The sequence below is a fragment of the Homo sapiens genome, chromosome 6, assembly GCF_000001405.40.
Source record: "Homo sapiens chromosome 6, GRCh38.p14 Primary Assembly".
Lineage (NCBI taxonomy): Eukaryota > Metazoa > Chordata > Mammalia > Primates > Hominidae > Homo > Homo sapiens.
The window spans coordinates 140,071,675-140,098,508 of record NC_000006.12 but is presented as its reverse complement, the minus strand read 5'-3'; the positions used below and the strand labels follow the sequence as shown (position 1 = coordinate 140,098,508).

Here is a 26,834-nt window from a genome sequence, read left to right as displayed (position 1 = left end):
GATAAAGAAAATCAATGAAAGAGATGTTAGGAAGAAATTCACAGAAGACATAGGACCCAAGTTAAAAATGGAAGAATGACATTTTAAAAGATAGAGGGGAGTTGGGGGACATTTCAGAAACAGCACTGACAGCAAAGGCACAAAAGTAGTTACTGTTTATGGGATAGTGAAAAAACAACTGATGAGAGAACAGAACACATGCTGGAAAGAGAGAAATAAGATCTGATAGGTAAATGCCAACAAAATGCAGAGGGTCTTGAAAAATTATACGGATAGTGAATGAAATCCTTAAATAGAATAGTATTATAATTATGAAGATGAGTTTGAGGAAAAGAAATATTCACTAAGCTGGTGAAGCTGCAGTTCAGTAATACTGATGAAAGGGAATGAATGGAGAAATAGAACCCAGGGTAGTGAACGAAGGGTTCGTTGTTGAAGCTGTGAGAATCAGCTGGCTCTCCATAGAGAGTATGTTGGGGAAGGAGGGAGCAAGGACTAAACTGTGGAAAACACACAGAGTAAATGAAGAAGAATAAAAATAAAAGGAATAAATATATGTAGAGTACTCAGCTGTTTTGTTTACACTGCTGTATAACGAACTCTCACAACACTTCATCCTGGAAAACAGCAGCCATCTATTTCTCATCATTCTGTGGGTTAGCTGGTGCTCAGCTCTGTGGTTTCTCTGCTGATCTTGCTTGGGGTCTCTAATGAAGCTGCAGGTAGCTGGCAGATGGGGTTCATGTACCTGAGACCTTGGTGGAAATGGCTAAAAGGCCACGCTAGCTGGAACACTGGGACAGCTATCAGGATGGCCTGGCCTCTTCTCTTGCTCCTTGTGAGTACTGTAGAGATAATTTCTCCATCATCTCTACAGATGTTCTCTCCAGCAGGGTAGACAGACTTCCTACATGGCAGCTCAGGGTGCCTAAATGCACAAAAGCCAATGCTTCTAGGCCTTCTTAAGGTTTAGGGCTAGACCTGGCACAGTGTTAACTCAGCAGTATTCACCTATCAAATTTTATTTCTTTCGTTTTCCAGCATGCTTTCTCTTCAGTTGGTCTTCTTAGTATCCCGGAAGCATGTCCAAAATTATCCTGTGGCTTTTACTGATGATCTTTGCCTTTTCTAAAATGTTTTTTCTTTTTTACTCCCACCCATCTTTTCAAATATTAGTTGTGTCAAAGTGCATCACAGGGGCCATTCATATTCAATATGGGCGGAAGCTATTCGAGGGTGTCAGTTTCAGGAGGCATCTTTTCAAGTGGCCAGCTTTGGAGTCTCACTGCCACATCAGCACATAGGATATTTTCAGTAAATATTACTCATCAATGCATCACAGAAACATATGAGGAATGAATTATTATATCTTTTGACAAATGAAGAAACTGAGGCTGATAAATGTTACATTTGGCTACTACTAACCAGTAGTAGCAGATGTTTTTATCAACCTCTGAAATGCTATTGTACATTATGCTAATTTGTAAGAATAAAATAATACCAATTTCGATAGAGATAAGGTAAAGGCTAGGAGTGAGTGTATGATATGTTTCCAGGCTAAACTCTTAGTTTAAAGCAAGATAGTGACAAGAATAATAATCTAGGAGAAAGTATGCTATAAAGGTGCTGTGAGATTCTTTAAAATGAAAAATTCCCTTCAAAGACACGATTTTCTGTTGAGCCTTTGGGCAAGACACTTAGTTTTCACTTTACAAATGATAGTCACAGACCATGAACACCTTTTTAAATGCTATTTTTCAAGGCTGAGAGCAAGCGTTCCAATTATAAAAGAATTGATCTTGTTAAACTTATTCTTAAATTTTTTATTTCCCTCCTTGGTTAATTCAATTTCCCTTCAAATGCATGAATCATCAAGACATAAACATTCAGCCACAATAGAAGAGGATGTTACATTATTTGGATGTACCTGATAGAATTCAGACAGAATAGATTGAGCAGGGTCAAATGAAATCCTCTTAGCTGCATACTTACAGCAACCAGGATGGTTACCGTTTTCTTGTCTTTATAAGACTTTACAAAAGATTCGTGATAATAAAAGAATGCACATCTCTCTTTGGTTATTCTATCCAAAATGGTAGCAAATGTTAAGAGATGGAGAGCTAACATTTATCTGTGCTTAACACAGACCAAGATTTGTGTTGGAAAAATGCTCTCCACCTCAAGCAGTTTTTATAACAACTCTGCTAGAAGATATAGTATTATTCCATTTTTACAGCTGATGGAAAATAAAGCTCAGAGAAGCTAAGTGCCTTGTGCAAGTTTAAACAGTAAACAGCTGATCTCTCAAAGGAAATTACGAATTTGAATGCATAGCTAACTTCAAAGTCCTTCCTTGTTGACTACCTCTGAAGCTTTGAGTTTCATGATCATTTATTACCATAGTCAAGAAACTGAATATTCATAAACAAAAATTAACCTAACAGTACCATAAAATCCAATTTGTAGCAAGAATCAGAAAGATTAGAATTTGTAGGTTTTCGAGGTGTAGGTTTCTGAGGGTAGATGGAAGAGGGAATGAGAGGCATTTGCCTTTGTTTTTCAGAGAAGGAAAAGGAACAAACCAGACCCCAGAGACCCTCCCTTTTATCAGGACTTTGCTCATGAAATATTTTGGAATTGTCCTCTTCCTTACCCCCTACCACTTTAACCCAGAAATTTCTGACTGCACATTTGCCAAAGGGGTTTTACTATGGTAACCTTCAGGCCTACACAAAGAACACAGTCAAAACAAATAGCTCTCTTTAAATGTCATTATGGGGAGTAAAATTCTATGTGCTGTATTAATGGGCCTCCCACAGCTAAAACCTAGCATACCACTTTGAAAAATGTCCCCTGTGGGTATCGCTTAAACCAACAAAAGTGAGGGAATTTCAGAGTTAAGAGAAAATCTAGCTCTGGTGAAAATTAATAGAAGACAGAAGAGTATGAATAAAGAAGCGAGAAATCAGGGAAACAAATTAAATTTGCTTTGTTTTCATCTTCTTTAATGTTATTTTAATATGAAAGGCCTAAAGAGAAGGCCAGCTTTTTTTAACATGCAATTTCCTTATTTTTGAATTTAATAAATCTTTAATGGAAGTAGAAATCCTGCCTTTGGCTTAAGAAATATAAAAAAGAAGAGAGATATGTATTTTTCTTAACCATCAGACAATATTCATAAAAGATCAGAGCAATGCCCTAAGTAAATAATAAACATACATTATTTACGCAGCATGCACTGCTTACCTGATAAATATGTTGGTTGCTCATTTTTAAAGAACTTATTAAGGAATATGCAAATTTCAAAAGCTTATTAAGGAATTAGTTGGCATACCTAATAGATCTCTAGAGAAAATTTGACTCTTGATGTAAGTATATCTTGAGGATAGGACTGATGTATGGTTAGAAATCTTCATAAAATTATTTTAAATCTTTCACTAGTTCCTTACTAAACCTCTACTTATTTGCTTATTGTATCTTTTTCAAGGCAAAGGAATTGGTTCTTGTTTTTCTTCCCCTGCCTGGAGCCTGAGGCAGCTCGTTTCAATTTATGCTCTGGCTCCCCAGGATAGCTGAGAAACTTCACTGTCCAATCCTACAGGGAGAAAAAGTGACACTGAGCATAATCAACACTGTCTCTAACCAGGATGCTTATGATATGGTAGTCTTTACGTTAGCTTTGCTTTGTTCCCACTCTTCTCTCCTTTCTTCCATACATCTCCTCATAACTCTATTTATAAATGGCCTTCGCAAAACCAAATTAACACAGTAAAAAGCTTAACCATGTGGTGCCCAGCACAATAAGATCTGGAAGGTCTGTCGTTATTGGATGCCGAGGATGTATTTCCATGTCCTGTGCCTCATCAGCAGGTAAAAAAGAGACTCTGACTTCTTAAAAGATAGTCTGTGATTTCTTTTCTGGAACTTAATAAAAAGTCACTCATCATCCGTTTGTGAGTGAGAGCTGTCTGAGTAAACAGAATTGACTACCATATTATTTTTGAATTGTCTCATAGCTTCAACTCTGGAGAGATAACAGTGGGGTTGATGTAGAAATCTTGCCTAAATGCTCCCTACCATGAATGACCACATGTTCCAGCATGGTATGCCAAGGGTAAGTGCCTATTAATTATTCCTTTGTAAATGTTTTGCTATTAATTAAAAGAGAAAACAGATTCAGAAATAAAGCCAGCTTTCATGGGTTCATGATACTCCTTTATAATAGTAAGAATCTGGGTTAAGTTAATCTCTCACTGAAATAAGCCTGTGTTTAGAAATAAGCATGTGTTTAGTAGAGACAGCAGTAGAATAATGTCTGGGCCTTAACTCTTTCGTATGCTTAAAGTGATTTTGATTATTTCATCAGAACTTCTTCACTCAAATTGAATGATAATATATATCTTATAGAATTTGTTGCTAAATTTTAATTATATAATATCTAGTTATTTAATAAATGCTTATTGTGCCACTACCTTGTGCTAGGCTAAGCCCAGGGAATAAGCTGATAGACAAAAATCTCTCTTCTTAAGTTGGATCTTATATTCTAGCAGTGGTTAAAAATAATAAAAATAGAGCAGAGAGAAAGGGATATAGAGAGCAAAATAGAGAAAATGGTTGAAAATCACATTCTGGAGGTGGCCAGTGACAGACCAGTGTAGAATAGTTTGGAAATATATTTTAATGTATAGATGAAACTAATTAGAAGCAGAAAAGTCATAAAATCCAATTTACCTTTGAAAAGATTTACTCTGATGACTGTGTAAAAAATAAGAGGAGCAAGAATCAAATTAGGGGATCATAGAGGAGTTTATTGCAATAGTCTTAGCAAGCAATGTTGAGTTTTTGAACTAACATGTTAGTGCAAAAATTCTTCACAGATTGTTGAATTTAGGGTTCTTTTGTGTGTCAACAGTGTTTGTACATGGATTAGATATAGGGTAGGTAGAAAAGGAAAACAATCAATCTTGGCCTTATCAAAAGGGGGATGCCAGTGTCTAGATACAGGTAAGCATTGACACTCATGAGACTTAGGCCTCAGGGCTCCTCCATTTTGCAGGCTCTTTCCAAGTCTCTTGTCTGACCCTAAAAGTGCATTCATGTTGTTACATATTTTTTATACCTTCCAAAACTAAACTATCTTAACTGTGATTGGTTAAGACCACCATCTCTTTACACTGGGTCACATCACCCCTAAGGCCAAGTGGCATTGCAGTAGTCGTAGACATTTCTGGATCCAGCTAACAGGCAGTTGCGCTGGGGATTGTGGTAAATTGTTAAACATGATTCCTAATAAATCACTCCTTTTTTTGTCCAGATCCCTTTGCAATGTAACTCTACTCCTCCCTCCATCAAGAAGTAGGGTCTATTTCTCCACCCCTTGAATCAGTCTGGTCTTGTGACTTGCTTTCATCAATAAAATGTTGCAGAAGTGAAGTCTGAAAGCCCTGCTTGGAGAAAACATGTAGCTTCTACTTTCAATCTTGGAATCCAGTCTCCACAAAAAGAAGTCCAGGCTAGCCTGCGGAGACAGAGAACATGTGGAGAGAAAGATCATAGTGAATGAACTACCATATGGAGAGTGAAGCCACATGGAAGAGAACCACATTGCCCCAGTTTGACAGTAACAGCAAAGCTCCATTTATTGAGAATGAAGCAATCTTTGATCTCTTAGCCCTAATCAAGTCACCCCAGCTGACATCACATGGAGTAGAGACAAGCCATCCCCACTGAGCCCCAAATATCCAACCAACAAAACTGTAAGCAATAAAATGTTTACTGTTTTAAACCACCATAATATGGGACTTTTTTTTCTTGCATAGCTGTAGATAACTGGTATAGGATAATTTAGCTTGATTTCATTAGAATGTATTGATGTGGTTTGTAGTCACTTTAATATATGGTTATTATGTTGTCGCCTTCTCTCCATATGTGGGACTGGGCTACAGCAATAGTCATGCCTCCCATTGTGCTGACTGTCCTGGCATCATGACACCAATGTACAAGGCCAGAAATGCTACAGCAAAATGAATCTGTCCCATGATGACTGGCACCCAAAGTGTGTGAACATTGGATGAAAAACAATACTGAAATGTACAGGGCCAGAAAAAAACATGAGGAAAATTCTTCCCAGAATTAGCTGTGTAAAATTCTAAGTGAAAGATAGGTTATTATCAATGATTGATCAAAATGGAAGTTATTAAAAATATACAAATTATCAATTTGCCATGTAATTTGTATGAGACTTACACACAATGAAATTTACCAGAAATGTGTGCTTCTTGGGCACAAAACTGTATCAGAGAATATAAAGTAAGTATATTTGAGAAGGATCGTGCTCAACAAACACTTTGTAGATATTTTTTCTATGAGACCACAGCTTCTAAATATGACAACAATTTTGAAATTTTTAATGACATCATCAATGACTAGCCTGAAGCTGAAGTAAACTTTCTAAACTGTCAAGTATTTAAATTTATTTTAGTTTATTTTTATTGTTAATTTTGTAAAGAAAGGATTATGCTAGAGGCAAGAATGAATATCATTTTATTGTTTCTATAGAAAATATTATAAATGGTGTAATATGGAGAAGTGAGCAGAAATGTGTGGCCAAAAATAGAAAAAAAATGTACAGACATGTTTGAGGCAGTTGATTCTTTCAAATATTATGTTATTTTCTGGATTTTTTCTGGATTTTCTGATTTTGCAATTTCTCAGCTTTTAAAATTTTGTAATTTATTGTTGTCATGTCTCATTTTAAAGAAATAGTTAGGCCGGGCGTGGTGGCTGACACCTGTAATCCCCTCACTTTGGGAGGCTGAGGTGGGTGGATCACCTGAGGTCGGGAGTTCGAGACCAGGCTGGCCAACATGGTGAAACCCTGTCTCCACTAAAAATACAAAAACACACACACAAAAATTGGACGTGCATAGTGGTGGGTGCCTGGAATCCCAGCTACTTGGGAGGCTGAGGCAGGAGACTTGCTTGAACCTGGGAGGCGGAGGTTGCAGTGAGCTGAGGTCTTGCCACTGCACTCCAGCCTGGTGATGAGTGAGACTCTGTCTCAAAAAAAAAAAAAGGAAAAAAAGAAAAAGAAAAAAAGAAATAGTTACGTTGCAACCTAATTTTGAATTTATATCTTTTAATTATTTTTCCTAACAAAAGCTGTCTAAACAGTATAAATTTCAAGCCTCAAAAACTCAGGCTATAACCTGGTGGTTTACCATAATTAGAACATTTACCATAATTAGAACACTGAATTTAATATTGAAGGTATAAAAAGACTTTGGAAATTGTAATTTGCTACCTAAGTATGAAGTCTTGCCATGTTTGTGTTTCCTTTCCAAAAAGCACTGAATGGATCCCCAGTGTCTAACTGTGTAAAACAGCTGAGACGTCACTGCTTTCCAATCTCTTGAAGGACAAGTGCTCATCTTGGCTCACCTTGGAACCCACTTCAGAACCCAGGGGAAGTGGTAAGTGTTCTAGTGTACGCATTGGAAAGGGAAATATACAAACAGGGCTGAGGATATCTCGGGACACAAGCAGCCATCAATATTTTAAGATGACCAACAAGCAATAGTCAAGGAGCTCCCATTGGGCAACTCTTCTCAGCTCTGAAGAGAAGAGCCAGTGCAAATCCCCAGCAGGGCTGTGGTGCTCACCTGGTGGCCAGTAGGTGGTCTTAGGCATTGGTTCCATTCCCTCATTGTTTTTGCTTCTAGCAATAATAGCTGCTCCACAGCCTGTCAATTAAGACATTGCTCCCCTACACCTCCAATTATTATTTCTTTTTTTTTTTCCTTTGTTTTTTTCTTTTTTCCTTTTTTTTGAGACAAAATCTGGCTCTGTCACCCAGGCTGGAGTGCAGTGGTGGGACCTCAGCTTACTGCAACCTCTGCCTCCCGGGTTCAAGTGATTCTCCTGCCTCAGCCTCCTTGTAGATGGGACTACACGAGCTCACTACTACGCCAGCTAATTTTTGTATTTTTAGTGGAAACGGGGTTTTGCCTTGTTGGCCAGGCTGGTCTTGAACTCCTGGCCTCAAGTGATCCACCCACCTCAGCCTCCCACAGTGCTGGGATTACAGGCGTGAGCCACCACGCCCGGCCACCTCCAATTATTTCTGATGAATGCTTCAAGATCCTCTTTGGAAGTTTGAAAACAAAAGAAAAGAAAACCAGCCACCAGCCAACCAATGACCAAAACTTGCTCTCTGTTTTCTTCCTAATTTCTAATTCTCCTGGAGCCAATGTGAAAAGAGAAAAGTTGTGCATAAAAGTAAGCACAAATAATAATATATCAACAAATACTCATATGTACCCCACAAATATATAAAATATTAGGTATCAATAAAATAAAATAATCAGTATTCAAAGCTATTTCAAACTCAGAAATGCATCTCACCAATTATATGTATATCTATAAACATCACAAATAATAGGATAATTGGGCATGTCCAGGATTATATTGGAGAAGCAATGTGCTCACAGCATTGAAAGAGCAAATTTCTTCACCCACTTGCAGATGATATAATTTTAACCTCCAATTCCCCTGTCTCCATTGTTCATCTCCTCCAGGACTGTGAACAGATTTCATCAGTTTTTGGTTTCATTATTCCTCCACTGGGATATCGGTCTCAGTTTATAAACATATTCAGATCTCTTCAATAATTTAAAAAAGAATCCTTCCCTGAATCCCTGTTCAATATTAACTAACTGAAACCTACAGGGTAACGAATCTGTTTTTAAAAAAGAAAGATAAAGAAAATATCTGCGTTTTCTATAATATTATACGAACTTGAAAGGCAAAGAGTTAGATGACATTTTCACATAATGTGCATATTGTTAGATTAAGTATGATTTATATGTTTAAAATTAAACCTTTTTTAAGTTTTATATGCAATAATAGAAGTATTTCCTATTTTATGGCGTAAATCTGGTTGTCCATATGCAAGTTAACAGCATTTGAGGCTTCTTTTTATAATAACTGGTAAGATCTTGCCCATCGGAACTTGGTTGTTGGTCATTTCTTTGAAGCATTTCCCTATTGACTGAAAGCAACTAAAAAGGTAGGTTTGTTTAGGATATGAAAACTAAGTTACCCTATGGCCCCAAAACCACATTAGATACTGATTAATTACTTATATTCAAGTAAAACATTGACTTACATTAAAAAACCTTAGGTTCTAAATGTCCTATGCCTAACCTATTCAGTACAATGTGACACAAATTCAACTTGATTTCCTATACTGGTTATGCCAAAATAAAGCTATTTCTTTATTAAAAATAAAAATAATGAATGCTATTAAGGTGGCAGCTTCATATTCTCATAAGATTTTGCTGTTCAAGCTAATCTTTAAAGGTTTTACCAGTGATACCATGCAAGTGGGTTTGCATCCACATGTGTAATGCCTTTATTTCTACCAAATCACTTACAATGTCCAGATAGACATATTTGTCTAAGTTAGCCAAACTGTGGCAATGCCTTTTAAATGCCAGATAAAATCTATTAAAATTTGTATCTTTTCATATGGGCTTGGGCTTTTAATTTTAAAACAAAGATTTTGAAAAACTGAAACCTACAAGATGGATTTAAAAGTTATTAAAATTATCAATAAATAATATTAATCATGTTAATACACATTATTATTACAATCTGGGGATAATTTAGGAGAAAAAAACAATATCTCCTTTCTCAGTGAACATCAAATAAGAGGGTCGTTGTGATATTTAAAATTTTGTCTTCATTCATCTTTGTAGAATAAACTTTTGGAGAATGAGCTATCATTAGGAAAATTTTCACTTTACATTTTTGTCAGTTTCCATCATATTTTGCTGTGAAATACCAGAAACTTTCAAATAAATTTCAATTTCTGAAAATATCAACACATTATGTATGGCTTTTCAGGTCAGCTTTCTGGTTCTAAGTCTTTTTTTTAATTGGTATCGTCCACTTTCTTTTTCTTAGTTATGCAGGAATTATAATATGGGTCTTCTGTCAGAGCTCTACAGCTCCTAAACCAAGGTATCACATATCTTCAAGACTGCTGAATACTGGAAGCAAAAAAAAACCCCACGAATTTTGCAGGTATTTATGAGAATATTTATTAAGAACACATAGTACACATAGTACACATAAATAGTGTGGAAGTCCGATATTTGATTGAGTTCTCTTTTCCATGATGTGACTTTTTTTTCTATTCAGACTTATGAAAGTATAACTGCATTATAGCAGCTTTGATTTCAGCAATATTCCATAGCTTAAGAATCCATCCTTCAGTAACTCATTGTGTTAAAAAAGTCACTTGCATCTGCCAATAGAGTTTCTCTCTGCTTCAGCTTACATTAAGAGAAATATCCCTTAGAATCAGCCTAAACCAATATAATAGATACTTCTGTACCTATAGGTAAGGTATCTAGGAGGAGAACATGTGTTAAGTAGAAAGTACATCCCCTATCAATGAATAGTACACAATTATCACACATAGATTTACATAGCCTACCTTGTATGACATACTCACTTTGCCACCATAGTTCTGTAGTTCTTTAAGCAATGTTAAAAGCATTCTGTTCTTATTTTTGTTTTTTTCTGTTTTGTTAGAAAACATGTCTTTCTTTCATGTCCTTGACAAAATTTTAAATTGTCTAAATATATGCACATTCACACCATCTTCTAGATTTGTTAGATTTTCAAAATACACGAAGATGAGACGTGATTCCAAACTTTGGTCCGATGAGCAAGAGAAACTAAGACAATAGTAAAGGAACAGAAACCTTTTTCAAATCCCAGCACCTCTACCAGCTACTCCAAGTTTACATTAAACCTCCAGAAAGGTTTGTAGGGTGATAAACATACTTCTAAAAGAAGATTTTAATGCTCAAGAAAATCTGATACACAGTAACTGCTATCATAGTTCCACTCAGAGAATCTTCTGTCCTTATTTAAAGTATGTCATTTCCTTCCTTCGGAGTTCAGAAGCAATAATAACAAAAAAGTAAAATGTTTTCCCCCTTATTTAATTACAATCAAATGAGGTTATTGTTCTTCCTATGAACCAAGAATCAAGGCATTGGAATGACAATAAAAACTAATTTAACAAAAGAAACTACACAAAATCACTTTGTTAATTTAAAAAAAATTAAATTCACACCTCAGTCACAGATAACTACTGGGAAATATGCATCTTGCTTAATTAGTCTTGGTAAAATCTAAATATCATCAGCTTATTTTGTGAGTGTAGTCAGCTGATGCCCAGATTGGAAGCTTAGGAGAAACTATGCTACATTGTCCAGTACAAACATGTCATTCACTGAGCTGGAACCAAACTTCCCGCTGTGTCCTTCCCCCAGTTCAAAATCCCCGTAGAATTTCCAAACAACAGTGTAAATAAGATAGGTCCTTTCATCAACTCACACTCATGACTAAATCAGAACATAACAATGCTTAGCAGAAATTGATATTTTACCCTATGAATTAGTAGGGAGAAAAAATATTTTGCATGAGTGTGTGATTTGTCTTAAGTTTTGAACTAAAGGGTGGGGGAGTAGCTTGGTTCTAGTTACCATCAGGACCATTCGTCAGAATTAAGATCCTAGTATTACAGAGCTGGAAGCCTCCTGCAGAGGTCATCAAGCCCAACCTCCTCCCTGTTAATCAAAGGGAAGCCCAACATATGCCCCAGCGTGCACTATGATTTGTAATTTGAAGTTGACAGGGTATAGAGTTCTCGGAAATTATGAATAAATTACCTTACCATATTCTGCCTTAGTATCGCCATCTCTACAATGAGGACAAGAGTAACTGTTTCAAAGAGCCATGGCAAACCAATCTGAAATTCACAGAAGAAAAGTCATATTGATAAATTAATGTAAAAGATGAATTTGTGACTAATAACCTCAGGATAGAAAAGAATACATGCTTAAAAAGTGCAAAACATAGGTAGCTTAGTTTTCAAAAGCAAAGGAACTAAATTTGAAAAATTAAAAATAACATCAGTAGAGACTATATGGAAATAGTCTCCCTGATATTTTATAATATTTTTGATCCATCTCTGAGTTGCTTTTTCTGTCATCTTTATGCCTCTAATTTCAGAATATTCAGCAGAATAATAGGTCTCCTGTTGTAGATCCAATGTTAAAAATAGCATTAACATTGTAGAGATTTGGAAGGTGGTACTGAGAATATTGATTAGCCAATAATTGGCATGTTCCTAGAAAGGAGCATAGTTCTGAATCGAACATAGCATCCCTTTAAAAATGATGTACTGATACTTAATCAGGTTATGCAGCTTCCTTCCTCCCCTCAAAAAATTGCTCTAACAGTAGCTGAGTATCCCTTGCTGGTCAGCCTCAAAGCTGACAGAGTGACCCCAGAGCAAGAAGATCTGCTTCTGATTCTCTGGGTTCCCTGCCCAAGGGGAGGAGGAGCAACTGTCAGGCAGACCAGAATGGGAAAGATCTTTTCAGATTTAGAGTCTTTCCTCAGTGACAAAGTTGAAGCCATTTGGGGCTCAATATTGCAGAGTTAACTCCAGCCACTAAAGTACATCAAAACAGAAAAAAAAAATGACAAGAATGCCATGTCTTTGCATCACATTTTCAAAAGCAAGGGGGAAGAACCCTATAACCTCTGAGAATGCAGATAATATGAGGTAATAGGCAAGTAAGGCAAAAATATTACTATCTTCCCTCCCTCAGCATCCAGAAAAGATGATTACTGTAATAACCATCATATTTTGCTATGCATTAAATATTTAAAAACTGTAAGATCTGGAAAATGCGGATATCAACCCTTTAAGTAGCTGTGCTATCTAAGTATCATAGTAACCTTCTCTAGCTTTACCATCTTGTGAAAGAGCTCACCTGCTAGAAAACAGTAACTATAGGATGGCTTTCCTTGCCTCACTCAGAAAAAAATACTATTCAACACATTATATATTTTTAATTTGTCTCATAGTTTTTATTTATATCTAAACTTTTCTATTTGGTCAAATAAAGAATGAGGGAATACATGAAATAACCCTAATTCCAAGGTGACCCAGGAACAAACAGATTCATACACAGAGACATTTGAATTAAAAAATTACCATACAACTCTGGGTCAACACATGCATGTGTGTGGTCACTCACTACCCCTCACCCAGGGAAAACATCACTGATCAATATAGAACATGCTTCATTTAGAGCTCTCCCCTTCCCCCCACACCCACCCTCACCTAAAGGCCTTGTGGTTTTTCAGTTTTTTCTCAACATGTCACTCTGGGTAATTACTACTCATTTCCAAAATAAGGAAAATCAAATGTGGATCCCCATGAAGCTTATTGATCGCAAGGGCACTTGGGCCAGATGAAATCTAAGAGGTTCTTCATGTCTTCCAAAAGAATCATCAGTGTTTCCTGTTCTGTAGAAACTTCTCTCTTCTAATTTCCTTTGAATAAAATGCTTTCCAACTGAATTAGTTATCTAGGGGTTGCCATAACAAAGCAGGATAGAGTGGATGCCTTAACCAACTGAAATCTATTTCCCTGAAGTTCTGGAGGATGAAAGTCAAAGATTAAGATGTTGGCAGGATTGGTGTCTTCAGAGGGCTCTCTTCTGGCCTTGTACACAGCCATCTTCTTTCTGTGTCTTCACATGGTCTTTGTCCATGTCTGTGTCCAACTTTCTGTTTCTTATACGAACACCAGCCATACTGGATTAATGTCCACCCTAAAGACCTTATTTTAACTTAATTACCCCTTTAAAGACCTTATCTTCAAATACAGTCACATTCTGAGGTACTGAAGGTTAGGACTTCAACACATGAATTTGGGAGAACAAAACTCAGCCCATAATATGCACATTACTTAAAACTGAGTTATTCTTTAAAAATAAGCCAAGTTCCACAACATTATGAGGTATTTACCTTTATATTTCAAATAATAATATATTTACATTGATATGTTTCAACTGCATTCTTTCAGTCATCTGTATCATCATGGTATGGCATCTATGGTAAATTGTGTATTGAAATACTTGTACTGTTCTTTTCCTTTTGTGACATTTAAAGACAAAGTCAAGGTTTGCAATTATCTTTCCTAGCTGATTCAAATTCCTATATGGTGATGACCTTTGACCTTGAATTTCTGCCTCTAAAGTTTCTCCTTTCTTCCTGTTATTCTAAACTTTCATGTATCCAGTTTCAGGATAATTTACACTATTAGAAACCAATCTTCTGTGCTTTCTCTTTTTCCATTTTGATCTTATGCCTTGATACTTATCACTGTTACTAATAATCTCTCTTCTTAAAATAATGTGTTCAGTAAGCAAAGTTTTTTGGGGAGGTAGAATACTATTTCCTGAGAACTCAGCCTTAGTATCTATGTGTGTTCAGGTGTTTCTATATAACATTTCAATAGAAAAGTCAGATTCCTTTTGACCATAAAAAGTGCTTATCCTCAATAAAAAAAAAATAGTTGTCCTTTAATAGCTGGAATGTTTTAAATGTATTTTGCTGTATACCTTCTGTAACCTCTCAGCAGAATTTCATAAAAAGTTGAAATTGATGTTTTCCCCTATAAGTTGGTGAATTTCTTTAATTAGGTAAAAAAGAAGGAAAGCATTTGGAAACACTCATAAAAGAACTCCCAAACTAGTGAAAAATCAAGGCTGTCATAATTGACACAATGGAATAGACAAATGCTGGGTATTTAAAATACCTAGCAATACCAGGAAGACTGAAAAATCAAAGATCTAAAGCTCTCTCTTCTCCCTATTATTCAACAACATTAAACATTCCTTTAAATTCATATTAACATAGAAGATCCAGACAAACCAATAATTTGACAACTTGTAACAATTAATTAATTGTGTAGATTAAACCTAAAGCAAACCTTAAAATTAGACACGCTAAAAACATAGTTCGAAAGGTCACATGACTGGAGTTGCAAAGCCTGTTTTACTATGCTGCTGCTTCTTAGAAACAATTTATTGTGTACTGAGTCAACTTAGTAACATAAGATTTACAAATATGGAAGTATCTCAAACTGAAGTGTAGGTTTAATATCTGCCTATTGAAAATTTCTTTAAAAAATGAATTCGCTTGGGTTACTCTTACTCTTTGTTTTTTTAGCAGAGAATCAATTATTAAAATTTCATTCTTTCTATTTATGAAGTCGTTTTTATCCTTTCCTGAAAACAATATCCAACACTCATAAATTACTAGAACCCCTGAATATTTCCCAGAAAACAAAATGCAGTCTTTTCCTGAGTCACCTTGTACTTGTGCTGACAGATTGACTCACAGTCAGACTTGATGCTTTATGGTTTTTTGGCCAGACTTCCATCTGCACAACGGGTTGAGGTATAAGAATATCTCTGCCTTGGCCACTGTTGTTTTCAGCACAGCTTCACTTGTTCAGTGCCCTTTACTTAACCTTGATACAAAAAAAGAAGTCAAGCCTAGGCATTTGCCTTTTACCAAATAAAATTTTATTAAATATGTGCATTTGTGTCTGTGTGTGGAACTGGAATAGGCTAGGAGCAATGCCAAAAGGAAAAGTTGCAACACAAGTTTGAACAGCAAGTGTCTTTGACTTATTGCTGTGATTATACTAATTGCTCATCTACTTGGTGGGAGGTTGCAGGAAGCTGTTTTGAAGTAATCAAGCTGAGATGGGCCCTTCTATTTATAATAGTTCTGCAAATTCTTATACCCCAAAAAGACTTAATTGCATTTTTCTTCTTTTAAAAATAGATTCATTCTCCCTTCTTCTCACCATTTCCATTGCTTCAATCCAATAATAAATATTTGATAGCTTCTTAGTTATTACATGAATAAGCATAAATTATCCTTTATTTCATAGATCTGAACAGAAAGCCCTCAATATTCATTATTGGATTTGAAGTGCAATACAAACCTTCTACAAAATAACAATAATTCTTTAGGTAATCTCTTGTAGAGGGCAAATTTTATGCACATATCATTCTCGTGAAAGTAGTTCTGTGTTATGAGAAAAACAACGATGGCCTTTGCTCAAAGCTTCAATCCATATTTATTTAGTAAATATTTTATTGCTATGATTAGCATTGTTATATCACTGAATAGCATAGCATCAGCAGACATAAGTCTTTGTTAGCACCATATGTGGTCTTTTATACTTTATTTCAATTTATTCTGGGTAAGAATTTTTTAATAAAAATTCAAATGTTGATAAAAGACATTATTTTGGAACTCTTTAGGAGCATAGACATTTCATGTGCTACTTAATCCTTCTATGTGCAGTTCTCTTTTGCTATTTTATCCTGATAAACAAAGACTGCATCATGATCTGGTAAGAGCATGTAAAGAATCACTCAAACCCAAAGACCTCAACTGTGTTACTTCCTAATTCAATGGATTTGGATTTTTCTGAGCCATAGTTTACTTAGCAATATACACTGGACATTAATATCTATTTTAGAGTAGTTGTGAGATTAAGTAACTAGCAGCCATAACACATATGGCACAAAATAGAAACTAAAGTTTACAGTGACTTTCCTTTTCTTCAAAATACCCACAAAATTGTATTGCCTGTAATGCCTTTTAGTACTTTGGGCTTTAGGAACTATTTCTTATTCCTGTCTCTTGTTCATTCTCTTCTATCTTTAATTTCTCTTTAACTGTTAAGCAAGTATTAATATAACAAATGGTATGAAACCATTTTAAGAAAAGCCTACTTACAAATATGTAATTAGAAGTTCATAAATTAAGGTGTGATGAATTTCATAAAATGAGTCACAGAATTATTAAATACTGGACCTGAGAGAAACCTGAGAAATAGCTGGTCCAATCCTCTGGTTTTGCAGAAGAGGAAACCACAACCAGAGAAGTTAATTGATTTGCTTAGGGGCATATAGTTGCAATTTTTTAATGTAAAGCACTCTTGTGCACTTCAAATAATTACACTTTTAAAATTTTACTTTCATACTGTGTTTAAAAAAACTAATATTAAATAATCTATTTTATGAACAATTACATAAAGTTGAAGATGATTATTTTTATATGTGTGGGGTTTTGTACACGAGGCATGGTTTTATCTTCACAATCATTTCTCAACTACACTGTAGTTTTGTGTGTGCATCATACTTCACAAGCACACAAAGTTTAGCTCTACTCTGGGGTTTTTGAATGGCTGTTCTAGGTGGAGATCCTGGAACACATCTGCATCTTAACAAGATTCAACATCTGAACCTGTAAAACTTTAGACAGAATTCAACCTGATACCATTAAGGAAAGAACCACCAGAATAGATATTTCAACATCTTAATGAGTCTAGAATTGAAGCAAGCCTTGTAGAAGGGAAAATCCTCCCCAATTAAACCTAGTCTTTGAAAAGGTGGTTAGATATTTCAGAAGATGAAAATAGCATCCATAATAAGTTATCTGAATTTAGGCAAGAATTAGGAAGAAAAAACAATTCTCAGTTCTTCTTCCTAAATTTGTCTCTCCCATCTTCCCCATAAGGAGCCCCGCTCTTCCCACAGGGACCAAGGTAACTATTTGATAATTCCTTCTTTGCAGCTATTTCCTGATGAGCTAGATGGAGAATTCACAGATTAATGCCAACCTCTTCAAATAACTGTATATGATGAAAAGGAAACACTGGCATGGTTTGTCCATGTGGCAGGTTTTTAATATTTATTCAAAAAATATATACTGGAAGGAGAAAACAGATATGGGAAACTAAGATGTATCATTCATATAAGAATACAATTTTGTCTATTAATGACCACAGTGTGTGATATTTAATTGGTCTTCAGAATAATTGCATATCAAACCATCTAAATCTGATAACATGTTTGGTCAATAATGATCTCCACATAGGTTATTGAATTTTTGCCCAGCTGGCACTGGTTGAGGCCCAGGGAAGCTCTAAGTTTAAAAGAACTTGAGGAACAAAAAAGAATAAAAATTAGGTACAAGCCTTTTAAAATTTATGTTGATCCCAAGTTCACTATTTTGCCATTTGGGTAACAGTTATATATTTTGTGGAGCTCCCATGATATCTTAGACATAAACCCACACGAAGTAGATATTCAGTATCTATGACTTAGGGGATTGGCTGATCTATTTCATCTCTTTCCTTCTAATGGTTGTTCAATAAGTCATACAGTAACTACTGTAGTTGCTGTATTGAAGTAGTCAAGTGAAAAAGAATATTTTTTTCTCCCTTGAACAGTATTTTCTGCTAACACAGCACACTTGTAAAAGCCCTTGAATATTTCAGCATAGGCATCAGATAAACATATAAATAACTAGATAAATAACTGACAAAATGCTGCAAATTATTTGGCGATAAATATAAGCACACCACAAATTACAAGGTTAATGCTTAACATCTTTTAGAAAATGCTTCTAAACTAAGGCTGTATTGTTAACATGAGATTACGGAAAAGGATTTTGTAATACTTAAAAGTTCTTGGACTGTTGGACAGTGAGTATTTTCTAATTGCTGAGCAAAAATAACAATATGGCATGATTCAATTCTGTAAGATTGAATGATTAAAAAAATCAAAATCAAAGGCTCTTCTGTTTGTACTATGAAGCATTTGGAGTTAAATTGTAAATAAGGACTGGAAAGAACGCATACAATTTAAGTAGCAGTCAGGACCAGTGGAGTATAATTTTTGGAATGCTTAAAATGATTATGAGATTGAGTAAGAAAATCGTAATGCCCAATTTTCTCTGAAAAAAAAAAAGTTATAGATGCCCTAAACAAGACACCAATGGTTGATAAAAAGGCAAAAATAAAAAATTTGGTCCCTGAATGATGACAAGTCAATGCAAATAGTGTGCTTTCCATTGGAAGCACAATTCCATATGTTCGTAGGCCAGCTCTGTCAGGCCCATTGGCAGGCCGTCCTGCTGTGCTCATCCTCAGTATGACACTCACCAGGCAGAGATGATGATGTATAGAAGCCAGGAAAATTTCCACTACGTGTCATGATCATGAGAGGCATAGCCTAGCTGCTGCTGAATGGTGGCAGCAGAAAATTCAGTCAACATATTTTAACCTTCAGAGTTATTCAGGCACATTCTGATCTCACCAAATGAGCTGATAAGAGTGAAGTACAAACTTGGCGTCAAACAGCTGTTTCCAAACAACCAATGGGAGGCAAGGCAAAGGAGTGCTTTCTTTCCGTTTTTAGGTACAGTCAGTGCTTTTCAAGGCTAAAACTTCAACAACAGTTTTTCCATTGCATAAAACAAAAACAGCTAACCTTTTAAATGTATAGGAACACAGTGGGGTAATAAAAATAAAAGGAAGAAGAGAAGAAGAAAAAGAATAAATGGAAGAATAACTTAAATGTTATAGGGTAAAACCAGCCAGGTTCTAAAGACAAAGCACTCTATGAACATTAGATTATGCAGTTGATTCGACCCTAATTCAAGTCAAGCTGGTTCAAATGTTTCACTTGAAATTTTTTTGTCCTTTTTTGCTTGTTGCTTATCCTGAAATCTGATCTACTTGTAGGTTTAATGCAGGGGACGGGCAAAAATCTGACCTATCCTTAGTATTGTAAGGGATTGCACTAAATGTGGGAGTAAGAGCAATAATTCCACAGCTTCCTTCTTGGAAACAGGCCCAGCTTGAAGAAATAAAAATAGAAGTGTCTGAATGCAACTAAAAAGCTCAGCCACATGGAATTTAAATGCCAATTCCCTTTAGCCTTTTTTTTTTATTTTTTTAGTCATCAAAATTCCTAAGCCCACAAATTCAAAAACTCTTACAGTCCAGCATCTTTTCTGGTAACCCATCACTTGAAGTCACATTGATCCAAAATGACTGCATATTGAATAGCTTCAACCCAGCTGTCCTCATACTTTTAAAAAATTATTAAGTTTAAAATGTAGATAAATAAATACATATGCCAAAGGGCACTAGAGTTCCAGGACAGGACTCGTTTAGTTGATGTTCATCCTTATGATTCCAGAATACACTTATATTAAGTTTTTTACGTTCTAAAAAAACACATTTTAAATTGAAACAAAAAAATTCCTAATATTTTTGCCAACCTCTGTTTCTAATTTGCCCAAGGGCCCTGTTTAGCATATTTGCAGTATCATATATTCAAAGTGGAAGAACGGGAAACAAAAAACAGATTTAGGAAACCAAGATTTACCACTAGTATGAGATGATAATTTGGTGTATCTCATGATGACTACATACATTAATTGTTTTTATGAGTGCTTCCATATTTTAAATTGTCTTCTGGATGGTAGATATATCAACATTCTCGGAAAAATTGAATTTCTCTGTCACTCTGCTGTTCATTGATCTTTTGTCTGCATGTGGTCTTTTTGAAATTAAGTGAAACTCTTTGTTTAAAAGAGATACTTAGGGTGCAAAGAGGAATAAGAATCTGGCCTAGGCCATTTAAACCCATGTTTATCCAGTATTCATCATTTTCTCCTCTAACATATGAACGTAGTTTCCAAAACCACAAATCTCACAAGTGTTTAGATCCAGACTTGTAAACAGGTTTGATTTCCTTTTACTGAGCGTCTTCCTTCCTCTTCTCTTATTGCATTCAGCTGGCTCTAATTCCTTCTGGTGTACTTAAAGAAATGAAATATTTTGTCTGAATTAAGAATAATCATGTGTTTGAGAAGATCAATCCTGAAACAATAGAAAAGTGAATTGTTTCCAATGGATCTGTTTACAATGACTGAGCAACTAGGATTTGGATGAATAAATAAAAAGACCAGTAATTTTATTGAGTTATATTGTTCAATTTCAATTGTGTCTCTTAACATAAACAGCTTAGTGATTGATGTATTATTGAATATTCGTGGAGTGTGCCTGTAATGAATATGTTTATGAGTGACCCTCTGAGAGTAAATCAATGTTAGAAAGAGACCTCTGTTTTTTAGGAGTTTAGATGATTGCAAATCAAACTTTCAAATGTCCAGATTTTAACACCTAGTACTTTGAAATTTAGAGGGAAAATTAAAAGTACCCAAAAAGCAAACGAGCCAGTGAATTATGGGAAAGAAAAAAAGAAAACATTTTTTTTTTCTTTTTTCAGACAGTGTCTTGCTTTGTCACCCAGGCTGGAGTGCAGTAGTACAATCACAGCTCTCTGCAGCCTCGTGCTCCTAGGCTCAATCTGTCCTCCCACCTCAGCAGCTGGGACTACAGGCATGCAGGACCACACCCAGTTGATTTTATTGTTTTTGTTATTGTTGTTGTTTTGTTTTTGTTTTTATTTTTTCGTAGAGATGGGGTCTCACTCTGTTGCCCTGGTGTGTCTTGAATTTCTGGCCTCAAGAGAGCCTCCTACCTCAGCCTCCCAAAGTGTTGGGATTACATGTGTGAGCCACCACATCCAGCCAGAATTCTTATTAACCTTTTTCAGTATCTGAGGCCATTATTTGGAAGCATCCTTAAGAAAATGACCAAAACATCACCATGACAGAGTCAAACACACTAGTGTCTTAAACAAATCATGCTCTTTTCTTTTAAAATTATGCAACTATTAATAGGCATGTAATTCTACTTATTATTCTCCCTAGTGGATAATTTATCTCTGTGAAAATGCTCCTCCTAGTAAGGTATTGAACTACATTTTGTCTTGAGCTTCATAGATGTCCAAGTATCTGAATTGATTGATGAGGCAAGGATATTCAATTGCAGAATCCCTCACTTCTATACAATTCATGATCTCCCTCAATTACTCTATTTTCTAAATGCTTATGACCTGGTCCAAGGAACTCGTAAGTCTTAGAAACGTATCTTCCACCATTCTTGGAATCGCTGCCCACAAAAATCATACACAAATGGGATGCTTCAATAATTTCTAAGTGGGGGAATGCCTAGGAAATGCAATAGACTGTTATCCTCAATCAGGAGGATATACAATCTGTTGATACAGCCTGGGGTTAGACAAGTAATGTCTCTATGACAAGGTGCTAAACTATGCTCTATCTTCCAATAGTACCTCTTCCTTCTCACATCTTCCAACTGGTATCTCTTCCCAGATTCTCTACTTATTCTCTTTTTTTCTATATACCCATATATACAGAAATATCTTTCAATCATATGTGTACAACTCCAAAATTCTTATTTCAAGATTAAATTATTTCTCAAGCTTATTCCTGTCTTACGTTTTCAACTGCCTGCTACTTTCCCCCCAAAATCCACATTCTGTTAAACCAGATGTCCTTCCTGACTTCTTTATTTCTATGTATGTGCCAAAATTCCCCTAGTCAGCTTAAAATTCAGTCATCTTTTTCCATTTCCTGTCTTCATCAATTCACTACTATCACCTTACATTTACATTTTGCTCCACAATTTTCAAACTGTTTCTATCTATATATTTTTATTTAATTGTAATAAATATGTGAAGTATGGGGAAATAATGCCTAGGTACTTGCTAATAGTAGTCCAGTTCATGAACCAGTAGCATGGCTGTCACCTGCGAGACTTTCAGAAATACAGAAGCTCAGCCTCCATCCCAGACCAACTGAATCAGAATCTGCAATTTAACAAGATCCCTGAGCAAATGATACATTATGGTGTTTTAAGTATTAATCTATTACTTGGAAAAGGTAATAGATTTGCTTAAGATATCACAGGCAGTAAGTGGAAGAACCAAAATCGAAAACAAAATATTCTAGCTTTCCAAGCCCAAATACAACGTTATTACAGGTGTGGTCCTCAGACCAGCAGCATCGGCATCATCTTGGGAGCTGGCTTAGTAAAATACAAATGCTTGGGGCTTGCCTCAGACCTCTAAATCAGAATCTCTGGGGGTAGGGGCCAAGGAATCAGTCTGTTTGCAAGTTCTGTTGATAATTCTTACATATGTTAAAGCTTGGGAAGCACTACTTTAATGTAAAATATATCTACTGAGTTCAATTAGGTGCCACTTTGTCTGCCATCATTCCTTCTTTTCTATGTCCTTTTCCACCTTCATATCTAATTAATGATTCCCTTTTAGGAAATAAGCTAATAGCCGTCTTCTTCTTTAACCAACCAATCCAGGTATCTCTCTCTCTCTAAATCATCTCTTATGCATTCATTCATTCAAAAAACATTTCAGTGTCTCAGACAATAGGTTCATTGCAAAAATTTCAGTGGCTCCCACTGCCTCCAAAACAAGGCAATTCTCTTCACATTGCCCTTAATGAACCTTTCCATTGCCATTAATGAACCTTTCCATTGTCCTTAATGGGAACCTCAAACTCCCATTTTTCTTATCTGCCACTGTTGTTCTGTATAAGGCTATACTCCAGACAAAAGGTCAGGAGGAAAAACCCAAGGCAATCCACTAAAACAAGGACATACCTCTAGGTGAGATTCTGTCTCCAGCAGCAGAATCTGAGCTGGTGTTGAGTCAAAGCCTTTGCAGGGAAGACACTCAGGCTCTTCCTCCTGGAGCCAAAATTTATCTTAAAAAACGATTGGCTGGCTGGGCGCTGTGGCTCATGCCTGTAATCCCAGCACTTTGGGAGGCCGAGATGGGTGGATCACCTGAGGTCAGGAGTTTGTGACCAGCCTGGCCAACATGGTGAAACCTCATCTCTACTAAAAATACAAAAATTAGCTGGGCATGGTGGCACATGCCTGTAATCCCAGCTACTCGGGAGGCTGAGGCACGAGAATTGCTTGAACCCTGGAGGCAGAGGTGTCAGTGAGCTGAGATCACGCCACTGCACTCCAGCCTGGGCAACAGAGCAAGAACCCCATCTCAAAAAAAAAAAAAAAGAAAAATTGGGTTTGACTCACTGTCAGAATTGAAAGAGGCATGGATGTATAGTGAAAAACATGGACCCAGACAGTTTTTCACAGTATGGAGGGAGTTTTTTGAATGGTTGACAATCATTTAGTACAAGCACCAACTATGAAGCCACATAGATGAAGAGCCATAAACATAGTTAGAAAGACTATAGGTAGAGGGCCATGTTCTTTGAATTGCCCAGTGTCAGGAATGTAATAGGCATTAGAGAACTTCAAATGACTCCTCATCTTATTCTAAACCAGATAACTGGGTTCCACTGTGATGGAACGTCTTATACTAAATCCAGTGCCTTATCGGCAACAGCCTGAGGTGTTCTGATACCCACTGAGGACTTTACATTACAGCAGTAATTCCCAATTTTGGCTGCATGCTAAAATCATTAGTGGAGTTTTAGAAAAAAAAATTATACTTAGTGCCTTTATCCAGAGACTATATTTAATTGATGCAGAGTGAGGACTGGTCATTTTATTTTATTTTTACTTCCCCAAGTAATTCTAATGTGTGTTCAGGTTTAAGAACCACTGCCCTGTACAGTGATCCCGATACTATGTGACCTGGTAAAATGGTAAACATCATACCACACCATCTTGTGAAATGGCAGTCTAATATAGTAGGTCTGGGATGGGGCCCATCATTCACGTAACTAACAATTTCCCAGGTGATGCTGATCCTACTGATCCACAGATCACACTTCAGGTAACAAGGCGCCATATGACTCAAACTTCCATTATTGTTTCCTCTGCCCTCCAAATGACTTTTTCCTCTGTGTGCAGTCAAAAATGGAATCCTCCCTTTAAAAGGGTCCCCATATATCTTATATAGTTTACTCATTCATTCCATAAATATCTGAGTCCCTACTGTGTGCCAGACATTGTTATAAACGGTGTCTAAAGTGGCTATAACTTATCCCAATCAACTTCTTTCAAATAAACGTCTGAATAAAATAAATCACACTATGTAAAATCAAGAAGCTGATATTGGCATTCTACCTTGAAAATGTGCAGATCCGTGGCTGTCTTGGAAATGGCCAAACAAGGCAAAGGGAAAAAGTATGGTATAGTGTGGAGATTACGCAACACAGGATAAAGAACAGAAGCCTAAGTACTGTGTATCTGAGTCTCTGTTGCCTCATTTTTAAACAAAGATGATGACAGTAGCAGCATCACAGGATTGTTGTGAGTCAATAAGAGCCTGCATTTAACAGTGTTTGTGAACAGAAATGTATTATATTATTCTCATAAACTGGCTCTTTATATTGAAATCCTGAGAAAATTTTCCAAAAGATTAACTTCTCATTTATGTGTAATTCCTTGCAAATAAGTTCTGCCAATTTTTTTAACCATTTAGCAGCTTTGTGAACTTAGCATAAATTTTTTAAATAGAAGAGGAAAAATCAATGATAACAAAGCTAATATGTCTTTTCCTATAATAAAGACTTCATAACTACATACTCAGATTACATATGTAGATTTTTAAGTATATGAGCTTCAAATGAGTTCTTTGTACATTTTAGAGATGCTATAATAACTTCAAAGCAGTAAGGGGAGGTAATAAAATATGCAAAGCCCTACCATATAGACAGTTTCCAAACACATACTGATGAGAAGATCATCTGTCTCAACAAAGTCACATGCATCCTATTAAGAAAAACCCTTTACAAGTGGTTTCTTTACATCTCTTTCTTATAAAGAGAAGGGAATTGCCATCACACCCTTCAAAAACCAGGATGCTTCTTGTTTTATAGATCATAGAAATTTTGCATGATTATTTTCTGCTCTTGAATTGGGAAATTCTTCAACACACAAAGTAGTAAGTTTAGGTCATTTCCCCCTTTTTTAGCCTTGGCAACAAAAACTAAACTTGAAGAAAATATTTTTAAATACTTATTTTTTTAATAAAAGTTAACTCTAGTTATTCATACAAAATTTCAAATTTGTGCTGATTTTTCTCATTGCTTTTCATACTTTGATTATATTTGTCCAATTTTTCTTCTAAAATAAACTTTGGCTTTAGCACATCTACAAAAATGCCAAACAGGAAAACAGGACAAGTTCTAATGTCTATCAGGGTTTTGGCAAAAACCCTCTCATGTCTATCAGGGTTTCTGTCTGCTACCGTACAAACTCAAATGAGGACATGAGAGTGCTTTTTAAAAGGTTGTTATGCTTAATCTTTAAGTTTTCATTAAATTAATACTGTTCTACTATATGATTTTTTTAAAAAATAGCGCTGACAAGTAAGTGTTTCATTTCCTCTTCTGCAAAAGAGTCTCAAAATAAGCAAACAAATAATATCTGAAGAATAAAAAACAGAACAAACAGCTCTGAAAAAGACAGGTGGCAATCAAAGTCGTACATATTCCTGTACTATGATTAGTTTGAGAGGCATAATGTTTATGAATAAGAAACATATTTTTGCTACTGATCAGATTCAAATATTCTAGAAACTTGGAATTACAAACATTTGCTTCTTTGCCTGTCAGGGGGCAAATACAGGCAGCAGCTAGAGAATAATTAGTAGAAATATGATGGCAGGTAGTAACATTAAATATTATTAGTTAAAATGACAGAAGTGCAAATTGTGAAAACTCAATATATGGTCAGCAAGGCATAATTGGAAAATATGTCTTAAAAGGTTAGGCTGTGACTCAAGGAAGTTTAATCTAGAAATAATATCTTTTTAAAAAAATCATTTCAACATAGATCATATCCGCTGCATCTTCACAGGTCAAAATAAATTGCCCTTTTCCTCTGATGGTGAATCATAATAGTTTCACAACATGGTCTTAAAATCCACTTAGATAACAAATGGTTGAAAATAATGAATTCTAGATTTCTTCCTTTTGCCATCAGTCACCTTGAAGATGGACTTGACTTCACTGAGGATAAGAATAGTGCCTTACTCATTTCTCTCTCTGTGGCTCAATGTGGCCCAATAATGCTTGTTAAATGAATAACTGCTGCCAACAAATGCTTGTTCAATGAATGAATCAATCAATGAAGAGGCACTGAGGACATATCCTCCCCCACAGAAAGCCTCTCATGACCACAGTGCACAATTACAAAACCAAAA

The 26,834-nt window shown here is 35.8% G+C and overlaps 2 long non-coding RNA genes across 4 annotated transcripts in view; one reads left to right on the top strand and one right to left on the bottom strand.

Annotated features, from left to right (window-relative positions):
- Positions 1-4,787: 4,787 nt before the first annotated feature.
- LINC02941 (long intergenic non-protein coding RNA 2941) overlaps positions 4,788-26,834 on the bottom strand; it is a 117,403-nt gene continuing 95,356 nt past the window's right edge. Inside the window, exons 3-4 of one of the 2 annotated variants that reach the window (NR_121622.1) lie at positions 11,753-11,827; positions 4,788-5,518 (exon numbers count right to left, since the gene is read on the bottom strand). This is a non-coding gene — a long non-coding RNA (long intergenic non-protein coding RNA 2941). The remainder of the gene's footprint in view (positions 5,519-11,752; positions 11,828-26,834) is intronic. The other variant, NR_121623.1, reaches the window with a different exon arrangement.
- LOC107986652 (uncharacterized) overlaps positions 5,514-26,834 on the top strand; it is a 56,727-nt gene continuing 35,406 nt past the window's right edge. The window contains exons 1-3 of one of the 2 annotated variants that reach the window (XR_001744383.2): positions 5,514-5,756; positions 7,348-7,472; positions 9,967-10,086. This is a non-coding gene — a long non-coding RNA (uncharacterized LOC107986652). The remainder of the gene's footprint in view (positions 5,757-7,347; positions 7,473-9,966; positions 10,087-26,834) is intronic. The other variant, XR_001744384.2, reaches the window with a different exon arrangement.